At 33.3% G+C, this 15,102-nt stretch overlaps 1 protein-coding gene across 15 annotated transcripts in view, besides 1 other annotated feature; it reads right to left on the bottom strand.

Moving 5' to 3' along the window:
* Positions 1-15,102, bottom strand: part of STXBP5L (syntaxin binding protein 5L) — a 516,557-nt gene that overhangs the window by 258,772 nt on the left and 242,683 nt on the right. For 14 of the 15 annotated variants that reach the window (NR_145516.2, XR_924217.3, XR_001740373.2 and 11 more), the window contains 2 exons: positions 13,430-13,513; positions 8,363-8,486 (listed from right to left, as the gene is read on the bottom strand). Coding sequence is in view for 11 of the 15 variants with exons in the window: in NM_014980.3 (NP_055795.1) it covers positions 8,363-8,486; positions 13,430-13,513 (208 nt within the window). In the remaining 4 variants the exon portion in view is untranslated. Of the gene's footprint in view, positions 1-7,021; positions 8,487-13,429; positions 13,514-15,102 lie in introns of those variants that run through there. The other variant, NR_145517.2, reaches the window with a different exon arrangement.
* Positions 381-581: a silencer, noted in NCBI's record as "peak4789 fragment used in MPRA reporter construct". NCBI's record gives its function as "represses an SCP1 promoter by STARR-seq MPRAs in K562 erythroleukemia cells {active_cell/tissue: K562}" and the evidence as "EXISTENCE:reporter gene assay evidence [ECO:0000049][PMID:32103011]".

Below are 15,102 nucleotides of genomic sequence, written 5' to 3'. Positions count from 1 at the left end.
ATACATTTGAGAATAGAATGGAACAGGGGCGATATTTAAAGAGAAAATAGCGGTAACTTTTCATAACAAATAAAAAATATAAATCTATAAATCAAAAAAACCCAATGTATTCCAAAATGAGACAAGCCAAGTATAAAGGGGTGCCCGGAGAATCTCCAACCGGCCTGCCCACTGGGAGGAATGCACACTGGGGTGGAGCCTCGGGAAGTTCGCACCATTTGCAGTGGGGAGGAGCCTGACCTCTTCTGTTTGGGAGTGGTAACCTGGGGTCCAATCTGTGAGACAGGAAGCCTGTTAGCAGGACTCTCGCTTTGCTGAGAGTCCTTGTTTCCCTTTTTTTCCTTTTCACCCAATAAACCCTGCTCTTCTCACCCTTCAAAGTGTCTGCGAGCCTAACATTTCATGGTCGTGTTATAAGAACCAGTTTTTCCTACAACAAAAGCAGGATAAGGAAAGAGATGTCCAACCTAAACCACTTCAATGAAATCATAAAACATCAAAGGTACGGATAAAATTGTAATAGAAGTCACAGAAAGGATGAATCACCACAAAAGAATGAAAATTGTGTGACTGAACACTTCCAACAATAAAATGGTAGCCTGGCAAACATTGTATAATATCATCATAGTGCTGGGGGAAAATAGTTCCCAATGCGGAATTATATATATGCAGATAAAACATCTTTCAATAATGTGGGTGTAATGGAGGCATTCAGAGATTAGCAAAAGATGAAAAAACATTCATATATAAACTAAAGGAACTTCCAAACTTTTAAAGCATACACTTTTTTTAACCTTACCTACAGCCGAAACACTTCATTTTTAAAAGTAAATTTTATCGTATATATTTAAGGTATACAACATGACGTTATGGAATGTACATAGATGGTAAACATGTTACTATAGTGAGGCAAGTTAACATATCCATCATCTCCCATATTTAACCATTTTTTTGGTGGCAAAAACAGCTAAAATTCTTAGCAGAAATCTCAAATACAATTTTATTAACTTTAGTCCTTATGCTGTGGATTAGATTTCAACTTTTTCTTCTATATATCTGCTACTTTGTATCCTCTGACCTACATCTCCCTGTTTTCTCCCCCAGGCTCTCCTGCCCCTGGTAACCACTGTTTTATTCTCTCAGTATATTTGACTTTTTAAAAAAAATTTCACATGTGAGACAATGCAATACTTTTCCTTCTGTGTCTAGCTTATTTCACTTAGCATAATGTCCTCCAGGTTCAGCTATGTTGTGGCAAATGACAGGATATCTTTCCTTTTTAAGGCTGCATAAAATTACATTGTATTTAAATACCTTGGTTTCTTTACCCATGCATCAGTCAACAGACACTTAGGCTGTTTCCATATCTTGGCTATTGTGAATATTGTCATGAACATGGGAGTGCAGATAACTTTATAGGGTGGTGATTTCATTTCCTTTGGGTATATACCTATAAGAGAAACTGCTGGGTTTCTATCTTAGTTCTATTTTTAATTTATTTAGGAACCTCCATACCCTATTAGTTTTCCATAATGACTGTACCAATCTACATTCTCACCAATAGTTTACAAAGATTCCATTTTCTCTATATACCTGCCAACATTTGTTATCTCTTTTTGATAACAGCCATCCTAATAGGTGTGAGATGATTTCTTTTTGATAACAGCCATCCTAATAGGTGTAAGATGATTTCTCATAGTGGTTTTGATTGGCATTTCCTTGATGATAAATGATGTTGAGCACCTTTTTACATACGTGTTGGCCATTTTTATGTGTTCTTTGGAGAAATGTGTATTCAGATCCTTCACTCATTTTTTAATGGAGTTATAAAGAGATAGAAAAAGATTAGTGATTTCCTAGGGATGAAGGAGTGGGGATGGAAATGAACTGCTAGTGGGTATGGGGTTTTTGGGGGGAGTGATGAAAATGTTCTAAATTTATTAAACGATTAAAAGAATTGTGTTGATGACTGCACAACTATGAATATATTAAAAAATCATTGAAGCTTATACTTTAAATTGCTGTTGTGAACTATACCCCAATAAACCTGTTTTTTAAAGAACAAAGTTTAAGCTCTCCAAAGTATAGCAGAAAATTTAGAACAAAATCTATCGTCACTTATCTCTCAGAGTTTCTAGTTTAACATTCTCTTTTGGAGTCTTTAGATTCCTTATTCTCATGCTTACCATCTCAGTGACATTTAAAATTAAAAAAAAAAACATGATATATTCAACGTTTTATTTATTTCAGTAAGAATCATTCAGGGCATCAAACCTTCCAAACTGCCTGTAATTAACCAGTACTTCTTGTTTAAATAATTTTCATACTGTGTTTATCTTTGCTACATATTTGCTCATCTAATTTTAAAAACCCTGTAATTATTTTTCTGTTTTATTGTTTATTAAATTTTAAGCTCTGGGATGTATGTGCAGAAAGTGCAGGTTTGTTACATAGGTAATCATGTGCCATGGTGGTTTGCTGCACCCATCAACCCATCATCTAGGTTTTAAGCCCGGCATGCATTAGGTATTTGTCCTAATGCTTTCCCTCTCCTTGCCCCCCATCCACCGAGAGACCCTACTATGTGATGTTCCCTTCCCTGTGTCCATGTGTTCTCACTGCTCAATTCCCCACTTATGAGTGAGAACATGCAGTGTTTGGTTTTCCGTTCCTGTGTTAGTTTGCTGAGAATGATGGTTTCCAGCTTCATCCATGTCCCTACAAAGGACATGAACTCATTCTTTTTTATGGCTGCATAGTATTCCACGGTGTATATGTGCCACATTTTCTTTATCCAGTCTATCACTGATGGACATTTGGGTTGGTTCCAAGTCTTTGCTATTGTGAATAGTGCTACAATAAACATACATGTGCATGTGTCTTTATAGTAGAATGATTTATAATCCTTTGGATATATATCCAGTAATGGGATTGCTGGGTCAAATGCTATTTCTGGTTCTAGATTCTTGAGGAATCGCCAGACTGTCTTCCACAATGGTTGAACTAATTTACACTCCCACCAACAGTGTAAAAGCATTCCTATTTCTCCACATCCTCTCCAGCATCTGTTGTTTCCTGACTTTTAATCATCGCCATTCTAATTGGTGTGAGATGGTATCTCATTGTGGTTTTGATTTGCATTTCTCTAATGACCAGTGATGATGAGCCTTTTTTCATATATTTGTTGGTTGCATGAATGTCTTCTTTTGAGAAGTGTCTGTTCATATTCTTTGCCTACTTTTTGATGGGGTTGTTTGATTTTTTTCTTGTAAATGTGTTTAAATTCCTTGTAGATTCTAGATATTAGCCCTTTGTCAGATGGATAGATTGCAAAAATTTTCTCCCATTCTGTGGGTTGCCTATTCACTCTGATGGCAGTTTCTTTTGCTTTGCAGAAGCTCTTTAGTTTAATTAGATCCCATTTGTCAATTTTGCCTTTTGTTGCCATTGCTTTTGTTGTTTTAGTCATGAAGTCTTTGCCCATGCCTATGTCCTGAATGGTATTGCCTAGGTTTTCTTCTAGGGTTTTTATGGTTTTAGGTCTTACGTTTAAGTCTTTAATCCACCTTGAGTTGATTTTTATATAAGGTATAAGGAAGGAGTCCAGTTCAGTTTTCTGCATATCACTAGCCAGTTTTCCCAGCACCATTTATTAAATAGGGAACCCTTTCCCCATTGCACATTTTTGTCAGGGAAAACCCTGTAATTATTTTTCTTGGGAACAAACTGAATTTACAAAGTAATATGTGGGAAATCAACGTCTTCATACCATTGAATTTAGTATGCATACATATGATATGTTTTTAATTTATTCAAGTTTTCTCTTGTATGTTCTGTATTAGAAATAATACTTCACATGTACATTAAGGCTTATTCCCATGTATTCTTGTGGGTGCTGTGATCTAAAATGGTTCTATTCATCCATTATATTTTGTTTGTTTTGTGTACAGAATTCTACTGTTACATGTAATAGTTTTCCTAATTCATTTTTGTTTTGTGTTGTCTAATTGCATCATAAGAAACTAAAATTTTGAATACTCTTTCTAAATTTTTAAATATCATATTTCATTTTCAAGTCTAATAATATTGGCTAGTATTTCCAGGAAAATATTAAATAAAAGCGGTAATTGTGGACACCCCTGTCCTGCTTCTGAGCAAAATTTTCACTATTAAGTATTTGATAGGATTTGGTTTAATGTCATATATATAGATATGTGTTGTATATGTATGTGTGTATGATTGCATATGTAACTGGTAGCACTGCAATTGAAAAATACACATTTGAAACCATAAATACATATTTGAAATCATTGAATAGGAAAAATCGATGTTTGCAGCAACAGCAGCAACCAGCTATAAGAACAATGCCATCAACAGTGCTAATCTTGAGTAAAACAGCTGATGATCCAGCAAATTATATATCATATATATATATATGAGAATCTTGGTAGAACCCTTAACAGAATGAACTTGAAGAAACCAAGCCTAGACATAAAGTAGTCAAATTGCTGAAAATAAAAGATACCCCGCAAAATTTTGAAAGCAATTGGAGAAAAGTGACACATTATATAAAGAGGAAGCAAAATTCAAGCTACTACAGATTCCTCATTCAGAAATTATGGAAGGCAGAAGATCATGTAAAGTGTTCATCACCTTAAAACCAAAACACACATGCCCACACAAAGTGTCACTTCAGGAATCTAAATCCAGGAAAAATGGCCTCCAAAAAAGGAAAGCAAAAAAAAAAAAGCAAAAGCAAAACAAAACAAAACTGAACTTCCAGATAAAGTAAGCTATGTGAATTCATTTCCACTAGGCCTACAAGAAAAATTAAATAATGTTCTTGTATCTTCAGGAACAAATGAAAATGATAAATAGCAAAGAAAATTCAAAAGACTGTTTTTCCTCTTAATTAAAAAAAGACATGATGATTTAAAGCAAAAATTATAACAATATATTTGGATGTACTATATGATAACCATAGCGTAAAGGACAGTAGGGGAAGAGAAATAGATCTACATGGTTACAAGATTTGCAAATTTTATGTGAAGTGTTACAATGTTAGCTCTAATAGGCTTTGAATAGTTAAGGAAGTATATTGTAATCCCTGGAGCAACCAATAAAAAATATGTGAAAATAAAATGCTTAGATTAATATTTAAATTAAAATGGAATTCTACTAGAAAATATTGAAATAACCTCCAAGAAGGCAAAAAGAGGAAAGAGGGAAAAATATGACGGGACCCACAAAACAAATAATAAAGTGGTAGGCCAAAATTCAATCTCATCAGTACTTACATTTAATATTAATAGATTGAACTCTGACTAGATAAAAGCACAAGACTCAACTATGGTTATTCCCAGTATCCGTTGATTCCAGGACTCCCCCTCCTATACCCAAATCCACAAATGCTTAAGTCTGTTATATAAAATGGCATAATATTTGCATATAATCTACATACATCCTCCTGTATACTTTAAATCATCTCTAGATTACTTATATGCAATACAGTGTGACACTATGCAAATAGTTGTGATACTGTATTGTTTCTTTTTATTTGTATTATTTTAAATTTTTGTATTTTTAATTTTTTTTCTCAGAACACTTTTGATCTTTGGTTTTGTTGAATCTTTGGGTGAAGAATCTGTGTATACAAAAGGTGGACTATGCTCTTTATAGGATATGTAATGGATGCCTAATAATAGATCCCCAAAATAAATAAAGCAAAAATGGGCAGAATTAAACTGAGAAGCGTGCACTTCTATAATCATATTAGGAAATTTAATAGCACTCTCTCAGCAATTGATAGCACTAGACAAGTATCAGTTCAATTACAGGGAATCTGGAAAACACCATCAACTACCCTGACCTATTTGTTTTTTAAAATACATAAAACAAAAATGAACAGAATTACAAAGGAAAATCCATTATAAGAGAAATGTTAACTCGCTTCTCTAAGAATTGAAATATCAGAACAAAAAATTAGCAACAATTTAAACCATACAAAATGAAAAACACAATTTCAAGTTTGACCTTTATGTAACAATTAGAAAATGTCGGCCGGGCGCGGTGGCTCACGCCTGTAATCCCAGCACTTTGGGAGGCTGAGGCGGGCGGATCACGAGGTCAGGAGATCGAGACCATCCTGGCTAACACGGTGAAACCCCGTCTCTACTAAAAATACAAAAAAAAATTAGCCGGGCATGGTAGCGGGCGCCTGTAGTCCCAGCTACTCGGGAGGCTGAGGCAGGAGAATGGCGTGAACCCGGGAGGCGGAGCTTGCAGTGAGCCAAGACAGCGCCACTGCAGTCCAGCCTGGGCGAAAGAGCGAGACTCCGTCTCAAAAAAAAAAAAAAAAAAAAGAAAATGTACATTCTTCCCAAGCACACTTAGAATGCTATGGTAATTGGCTCTGCACTGATTATAAAGCAAATCTCAGTAGATTTTGTAGAACTAGTTATGTCATATTCTCTGGCTACAATTTTAAAATCCATCATAAAAAACATGCTTAGAAATTGAGGTTGGGTGTGGTTGCTCACACCTATAATTTTAGCACTTTGTGAGGCCAAAGAGGGAGGATCACTTGAGGCCTCCAGAAGCTTAGGACCAGCCTGGGCAACATAGTAAGACCCATCTTTTATTAATAATAATAACACAAATAATAAAAATGAAAATGTTTAGAAATTAGAAAGCACATGTCTAAATAACTAATGGGTCAAAGGAGAATTATAATAGGAATTATAGAAAATATCTCAAACTAAATATTAATGAAAATTATATATGATTAATAATATTACATTTAAAGACTTATAGGATATATCTAAAGTGGTACTTAGAGAAAAGTTTTATTTTAGAAAATAAAAATGGCTAAAACAAAAGGGAAAAAAATAAACCCAAAGAATGTCAATAGATGACAATAAATGCCTCTATTATCAAAATCACTGGTGCTTATGTTATTGTGAGGCAACAGGAATATAATCTATTCCTGTTTTATATGTTATAAAAGACATCAAGGCTGATGTGTTGAACAACCTGTAAACAGAACTTTATTTCAACAGAAAAGCAGAATAATAGAAAACAATCCAAACTGATGAAATAAATATGGATATGGTAAAAAAAATAAAAGTATCAAATGTCCAGTCTAGCCAAAAGAACTAATAGAAACTGATATTTGAGAAGAACATAAGGAAGTAAGTAGAAAATTTATGACTAGCTCATATTATACTTTTACATATAAAAGGCATGAGTATTGGGGGTTAGCTGGGGGTGTGTGGACAGAACTTATCCCCTATCGTAGAAATAAATAGTTAATCCTGAGTGGTATGTATAGCTAATATCTACCCAAGGTTTCTGTAATGGCAATCTCTAAATAAAGCATCTCTAAGTAAGCATCTAAATGTAAAGTAATCTCTAAGTAAACCAGCTAAAGACTAAAACATTTACATCCTGGAAGAATGTTGCAATAATTTGATCATTTACTGATGGAGCATGTAACTATGGTACAAAAAAATGGCAGACAAACAGCATGAAATAATTCTAAGAATGCTTGTGATCTATGGGTCACCCATTACAGAAAACATACCACTACTTTCCAAATGTGACATGATAACGAACGCTCAGAAACTGTAACATAGAATATGTTTGATCAACTGTTAGTTTCTGACATATCTATTATTACAAATAATCAATGATATGAGGTAAACATAGAACTCAGATCATCACCAATATTATCAAATAATTTAGTCATCTGAATTATATATATTTATACATTTGAATTGCTTATTCTTCCCCATTAGGTATACAGATCCAATATAAATCCTCAATTAAGATTAAAATCCTCATTTAGGATTAAAATGCTCTTCTCAATGTGGAAGGCAATAAGAAAAGTAAAACCTAAAATTAAAACCACAGTCTTCATAACTTACTGGAATCAAATGGCAGAAATGGAAACAAGTGGGAGAATCTAGAAAACAACAGACTATAAAGTAGTATAGGAATTAACTCTGAAAGTCACATCTAAATAGTGCCATTCTCTCACTGGCTCCTCAGCCCTTAAAAGTGACAAAATTTCCTATATTATCTCCTCTGCCCCAGATATATCAACCATCCATTATCCAATTTTTGGTTGGGACAGTACATAACTACAGCTTACAAAACAGGGATGTGGGTTGGTAGGAAGAAGGGAAGTATGGAAAGTTTGGGGTACAATGTTGGGATCTGTAGGTGGTATAAAAGGGATGTTTAGAACCAGAAGCTATGTCCTATTACTTTTTTCTACCAAACGCATTAATACCATCTCTCTTACTTCAAGTCAAGGCACTGAATTGCCAGTGTTTATTCCTTTTGAAAGCATACATCTTACCATGTGGAATTGTGGTCTGGAAAGGGCGACTTGGGCTTTTCAGGTTCCATAAAGTCAAACTACCATCTGAATGGCTGCACATGAACTGTTTGCCCTCATGATGCCAATCAATTGAATGAATAGCCTAATAAAATAACAATTAAAACAAGTAGAGGGGGAAAAAAGTAGATAGGTTATATCATTCTATATTCCAAAGAAAAACTATTCTGATATAAAATTATTATACTAACAACACTTAAAAAACATAATTTTTCTGACCCATATCAGACTATAATTTCTGGTAAGATGAAGTCCTATTTCCTCCTCACATAGCCAATTAAAAGAATAATTTAAGTAAGAGCTACCATCTGAAGGCTTTCTATGTGCCAAACCCCAAGGCAAGCATTTTATACACATTATTTCATTTAATCCTATAAAAAGTGTATTGATTTTTCAATTTACACATGGTGAAACAGGCCTTGAGAGATTGAGATACTTGCTCAAGTCACAGAACTCAAAACCAAGGTCTAACTACGAAAAACGTTCTCAATCATTGCACTGTATTGCCCTCTTGCATATACTATTTAAATCAATTTAAAGCAAGAAAGGTTTAAATTTTCTTTTATATTTTCAGGTTAACTCTGTAGTTTTGAGTCAGATAAGATTCAAAAGTAATTACAGCCATCCCTCGGTATCCACTGGGGATTAGTTAGAGAACTCCCACACTCCCTCAGATTCTAAAATCCACAGATGCTCAAGTCCCTTATATAAAACAGCATACTATTTGCATACAACCTATGAATATCCTCCCATATACTTAAAATCATCCCTAGATTACTAATAGAATGTAAATGATATGTAAGTAGTTATACTATACTGTCTTTTTATTTGTATTATTATAAATTATTATATTGTTTTAAAATTATTTTTTGTTTTTAAAATATTTCCTATTATAGTTAGTTGAATCCAAGGATATGGAATTTATGGATACGGAGGGCTGACTGTATTTCATTTTCCCAAGCTATTGTATTCCCAATGCTAGCATAGTGACCAGCATAAAGTAAGTACTCAATAAATATCTGTTGACTGAATTAGTAATTAATGTCATATGCATTTCCACACCCTTGGTATTCTTTCTAAATTAATAAAGTACATACAGAACTTGGGTAAAGTACTAAGTACTATAAGAAAAATTCTAGTAGACATAAAGGCAGAAAAGAAGCATACAACATCTTTTCCTTAAAGACACTTATAAAACAGCAAGAGAGAGAAGATTAATATAAGTGAATACTAATCATATTTATTTTTTGAAACTTCACACACAGACACATACAACTAAAATTTCCAAACTAAGTTACACATACATAACTGATAAAAGTTCTAAACAATCAGTATTATTAGAGTTGCAGATAACTGATGGCTAAAGTAATTATTACACATATAATCAAGAAAATAAGATTTGATTAAGTGGAAAAAGCAACATGAAATCCTGGACTTGTGTTTTCTCTCACTCTGTGGCCTTCATTACTAAGCAGAGATTTCTTTTTTGCTAGGGTCCAGCAGAGGAAGTTAGAGATAAAATACTTTTTTTCTCTTCTCCTCTGCTTATTTCTTCTCCCTTCTGTAGGTGGTTCAAGGGAAAGTCACATCTTCTTGCCTCCCCTACATGTTAACTTTGATGAGCCTCATTTAACTTAAAGTTGTCTCAAACTGTTTTGCCATCAAAGATGGAGGCAGAAAAGGCACTCTCAACCCTAAACTTTCTTATTTCACTGAATTTCTATCTACTGGAGAGGACAGATATAAAAACAATAGCTAAATAAAGCCAAAGTAAGTCAGTACTATTAAAGAAGTATATTTATTGTTTAGAAAAGCAAGCATGTAAAACCAACTTGTTATTAGAGATCAGGGTCTCATATAGTGCATTACTGAGTAGCTAGCATTTGATCTAACTTGATGGATAAATATTCAATTTCTATTTATTAGATTCTACCCCTCTCTTTTCTCAAAAAAAGGGAGGGGGGCTCAGAGGGCTTACTGAAAAAAACAAATATAATACAACTAATCCAAAAAGAATTTTAAGAGATAGAAAACAGAATTTTAAACATAAAATACTAGCTAGTTTTATCAACTCAGTGGCTGAGACTGAGTTTCTTGAACACATGAAAGAAGAAGGAAATCCAAAAAACTGGATAACAATATCCATTCATCAATGGCTATTTATGAAGAGGCTAGTTAAATTGTCTAAATAGTTTTACAGGGGCTAAAGACCTAACAGAATTTTGATATACAGAAGAGGAAAGAAGGCAGTTCATGATGAGAAGTTAGAAGGAGCAAAGGCTCAGAGATAAGCAATAAGTGTTATATATGGAAGATAGTGAGTAATATGTCTGAAATGTGGGGAATGTGTAGAAGGATGTTGTAAATTTAACTAAAGAGGAATGATAGCACTAGGACCTTAAATCTCAAGTCAAGCAATATGGACTGTGTATTGTCGACAATTGAGAGCTATTCAAAGGTTCTGTTGTAGAGAATTCCATAATCTGTTTTAAAATGATAATCTTGTTAATGAAGGATATATTGAAGAGGTAAGACATCAAAGGAAAAGTGGTTGTGATTAGTTAAAATGCTCTTATAGTCATCCAGGCAAAAGATAACAACTTAAACTAGGACATTGGAAGTGGGAATTAGAAAAGAGGAAATAAATGAGACAATATAAAATCAGAATCAGAAAGCCTGCAGAAATTGATTGCATATACAACACGATGATGGAAGAGACAAATATTACTTTGAGGGGTCTAAACTGAATTAACTAAACAAGACTTAAAAACCAGAAGAAAACATAGAAGGAGGTTTAGATATTTAAATACAAATTCAGTGCCAATGGGATATTTTGCTGGATTTATCTAATATATTGTTAGATATTTAGATCTAGAGTTCAAGAGGGAGGTAAAGGCTACAGATATATGGATGTTCTTTTTTTAGCATAAAGGTAATATTTGAAATAAGAGATAATATAAACACTAGAAAGTATAAATTAGAGAGAGAAGAAATGAGGGTAAAGACATAATATCCTGAAGAATATCAATAACGTAAAGGAGAGCTAAGGGAAAAATCAGTTATGGAAAAAGGTGCATGATAAATGAGGTGGAAAGACACAGACAAGTGAATAAATTATTTTAAGGAGGAGAAACTGAGGTAAAGCCACAGGTTTAGTGAGGAATTTAAAGGCTTGGAAGAGGTCACTGTGTGTAGTAATGAAGAGCTTATTGGTGACTTAAGAAAAAACATTTCAGGTAAGTATTAAGCATGCTTTCTAGATATGAGAGGTAAAGTGCTGAGGAGAGGCTGAAAAGTTTGGTAGTGAAATGAAGTATTTAACTATCTCTGTTAAAACAATAGAGCATATAATGACACATTAAAGTAGATAAAGATGATATATTTACATACATATATCAGATGTCAATAACTTCTAGGTATAAATTACATATATTTGTACTAAGGCAGCTGCAAATCCTTATTTTAAAATTTCACTGAAATTTTACTCTCTTTTTAAGGCTCAAAACGTTTCTTCCATACTTTTTAAGGCCATAGGAAAGCTAGATGATTCAGCATTTTCCTCTGGGTTTTCTTTTGAGCTGGTTATTCTAATTCCAACTGGCTAAATATTCCCATGGTGTTTGTATTCTTATTTAGCTGCTAGTGTTGAGAGAGGGAAGAGAAGGAGCACTATCCATCCCCATCTTTATGATTTGTATAACAAAAGGAAACTCCTAGCTTAGCTCCCTAAGACCTTCTTTTCTTATGATTCAAGATGCTGAAGAATTTGATTATAAAGAACATAACTGCATGATATTACTTATCAGATTATTTTTCACCAATTGTGAAAAAATTACCCAGCTGCCATTTTATTTTATTTCTAAACATTTTTTTACCACTATGAGAATGACTGATAACGAATTGTGCAGCTTATGAAATAGGTGAAGGCTTATATCTTTAAGCACCGAAACTTAAAAAATTAACTGTTATGAGGGGGATGGGAGAGAACATGTAAAGTATTCTAGGGTGACTACAGGTTCATCTGGAGACTTTTTTTATCCCTCCAATGATAAAATAAGGAAGTGTTCTAAAATAAATGTGTGTGTGTTTCATTTTCTAATTATTTCAGTGCTGCTTTAAATTATTTGGCACTTTTCCTATATAAGATTAGGTTTTACTGGACATAAATTTTTGACATATATTTTCCTCCTATCTCTTCCTACTCCCACCATTTTCAAATTGAATTAATAGCACAGATGATCACCTTTGTTTCCACAGGTACAAAAGGTAATTTCCCTTTTAATCTGTTGCCCCCAGTTTTACGGTCTTCTTATTAGCCTCTTCTGAATGGAAAAATAATTAATGGCCCGGAATTAATATTTGAACAACTGAAGTGTCAACTGGGAGATTATTCCTTGATGAATAGGAGTTTGTTGCTTCCCCTAAATACAAACTTAATCAAGTCTCAATTACATACAATAAAACTTACTTCAAGATCTGGTCATTTAATAAGTGTCACTTATTAATATCTGGTCACTTAATAAGTATTACTATTTACAAAATTTTTCTTTATTCTAAGAAGGCAAGTATTAGAAGACAAGACCTTTCAAACTGACTTGAACTTCTTGCCACTGAAAAGGAATTTTCTAAGGAAGGTGTGAATAGTGTCTTTAGAGACCTTAAGGACAATGAGGCACAACGTAGCATGGAGCCTACAGAAAGGAAAAGCAGTTGAGACAAAGTTGGGGATATAGTACAGGTGACAGGCACCCAAGTATATAAGATTGACAAGGCAGGATCTATTAACAAATGCAAAGTATATAAGATGCCACAAGAGGGCCCCGAAATAGGCAGTCAAGGCAGAATTTCCTCTTAAAAGAAAAATCTAGAGATGGAACTTACACAAATACTAAAAGACAGTGTGAAGCACTGGGTCAGAATCAGGCAACTTTCCAAGGCTAAACATACTGGTAAAGTGCAAAGCTTAAAAGTAGTAAACAGGCATAACGTCACAATACTCTTTCAAACATGTCGGTAGAAATCACTTACCTCATCATAATAAACTCTCAGTTCTGCTCTTTTAGATTTCAAGTCCCAGAATACTACAGTACCATTTTCATAACCTATTAGCAGCTGGAAAACATTAGAACAATCATTTTCTTAATTCTAACATTAATTTTAACTTGCTTCAAATAAAGTTTAATGTTAATAAAGTAAAATCATACCACATAACATCCTTATTTAGAATAAATTTTTCTAGAACTTGAATATAGGTTTTCTACATTTAAAAAATGGCAAACTCTGCTTCAATATGAACACTTACCAATAAATCACCTAATTTCAAAGAGGAAATAAGGAAGAATATAAATATATATGACATGATATAAAATAAGTATGAAAATTGGAAGAAAAGAAAAATGGGATAGAAAACGAAGATGAAATAAAACATGAAATGGGATAAGATTAATGAACTATGTATATGCCATTCAGTCCTATGCACTTGAGAAATGTGGCTTCAAATTTGGCTTCAAATTTCTTCTACCAAATCCTATTTTCTCTTTGACCGAATTCAATATTTTAAACTGATGTTTTATGAACCCTCTGAAGATTATAAAGTTATTCTAGAGATTCACGTCATTAAAAAGATTAATATTTATTTTTAAATCAATAAATAAGATGATTAATAAAATATTTCTTTAAAATAGAAGAATTTTAGAACATATCATGATTATAATATGATCATCTTTAAGACTCAGTCATTAAGCTAAACAATGCTAGCCATACTGATAACTTTTGCTGTTAAATGATTCACAATTATTATTTGTATCCTTCCTATTTTTTTGTTACCAATGACAGAAAATTTAACCTATCATTGGTTAGGGAAAAAAAATAAGAGGAAGGATAAAAATAGCCAATGTTAAAATAATGATATATTTCTGACAGATTTGCCTTAAGATGATTTTCTTCAAATACATTAGTAGTATTCCTCTGATGAAAATTCTTATACACTGGATAAAGATGTATCAATAACTTCAAAAAACCATTGGTAAGAACAGAAAATATAGTGGTGGTGATAACCTAAGCCTGCAGAGCATCCTGAGACCTTATCACTTATCTCGACATCTTACAATGAGACACAAAAAATAACAAAAGTAAACCAGCTAGTAGTTTTCGCAGTAAAAACACAAAAGGTTTCAAATATCAGTTCATTAAAGCAATATACATTTATTTTTGAAGCTATAACAAAAATGCTTGGTTATTAAACCACACACAATAAATGTTAAAAATGACAAAAAATTGAGCTTTTTACATGTTAACTTGAAGTAAATGGCATATATGACTTGCTAAGTGAAAATGTCAAAACTAAATACATATTTGAGTAATATTTCTTAAAATAAAATTGATATGACTGTACTAAGTGTACTAAGATATGTTTTAACTTCAAATTGATTTTTTTTACATACAAGAGAAAATGATGAACGATGAAACCAATTTCTTTTCTTTCTTTTTTTTTTTGAGACAGAGGACAGAGTCTTACTCTGCCACCCAGGGTGGAGTGCAGTGGCACAATCTCTGCTCACTGCAACCTCCGCCTCCTGGGTTCAAGAGATTCTGTGCCTCAGCCTCCTGAATAGCTGGGATTACAGGCATCTGCCACCACACCTGGCTAATTTTTGTATTTTTAGTAGAGATGGGGTTTCACCACGTTGGCCAGGCTGGTT

Source organism: Homo sapiens, chromosome 3 (assembly GCF_000001405.40).
Source record: "Homo sapiens chromosome 3, GRCh38.p14 Primary Assembly".
Lineage (NCBI taxonomy): Eukaryota > Metazoa > Chordata > Mammalia > Primates > Hominidae > Homo > Homo sapiens.
This window is presented reverse-complemented; position numbering and strand designations above follow the sequence as displayed.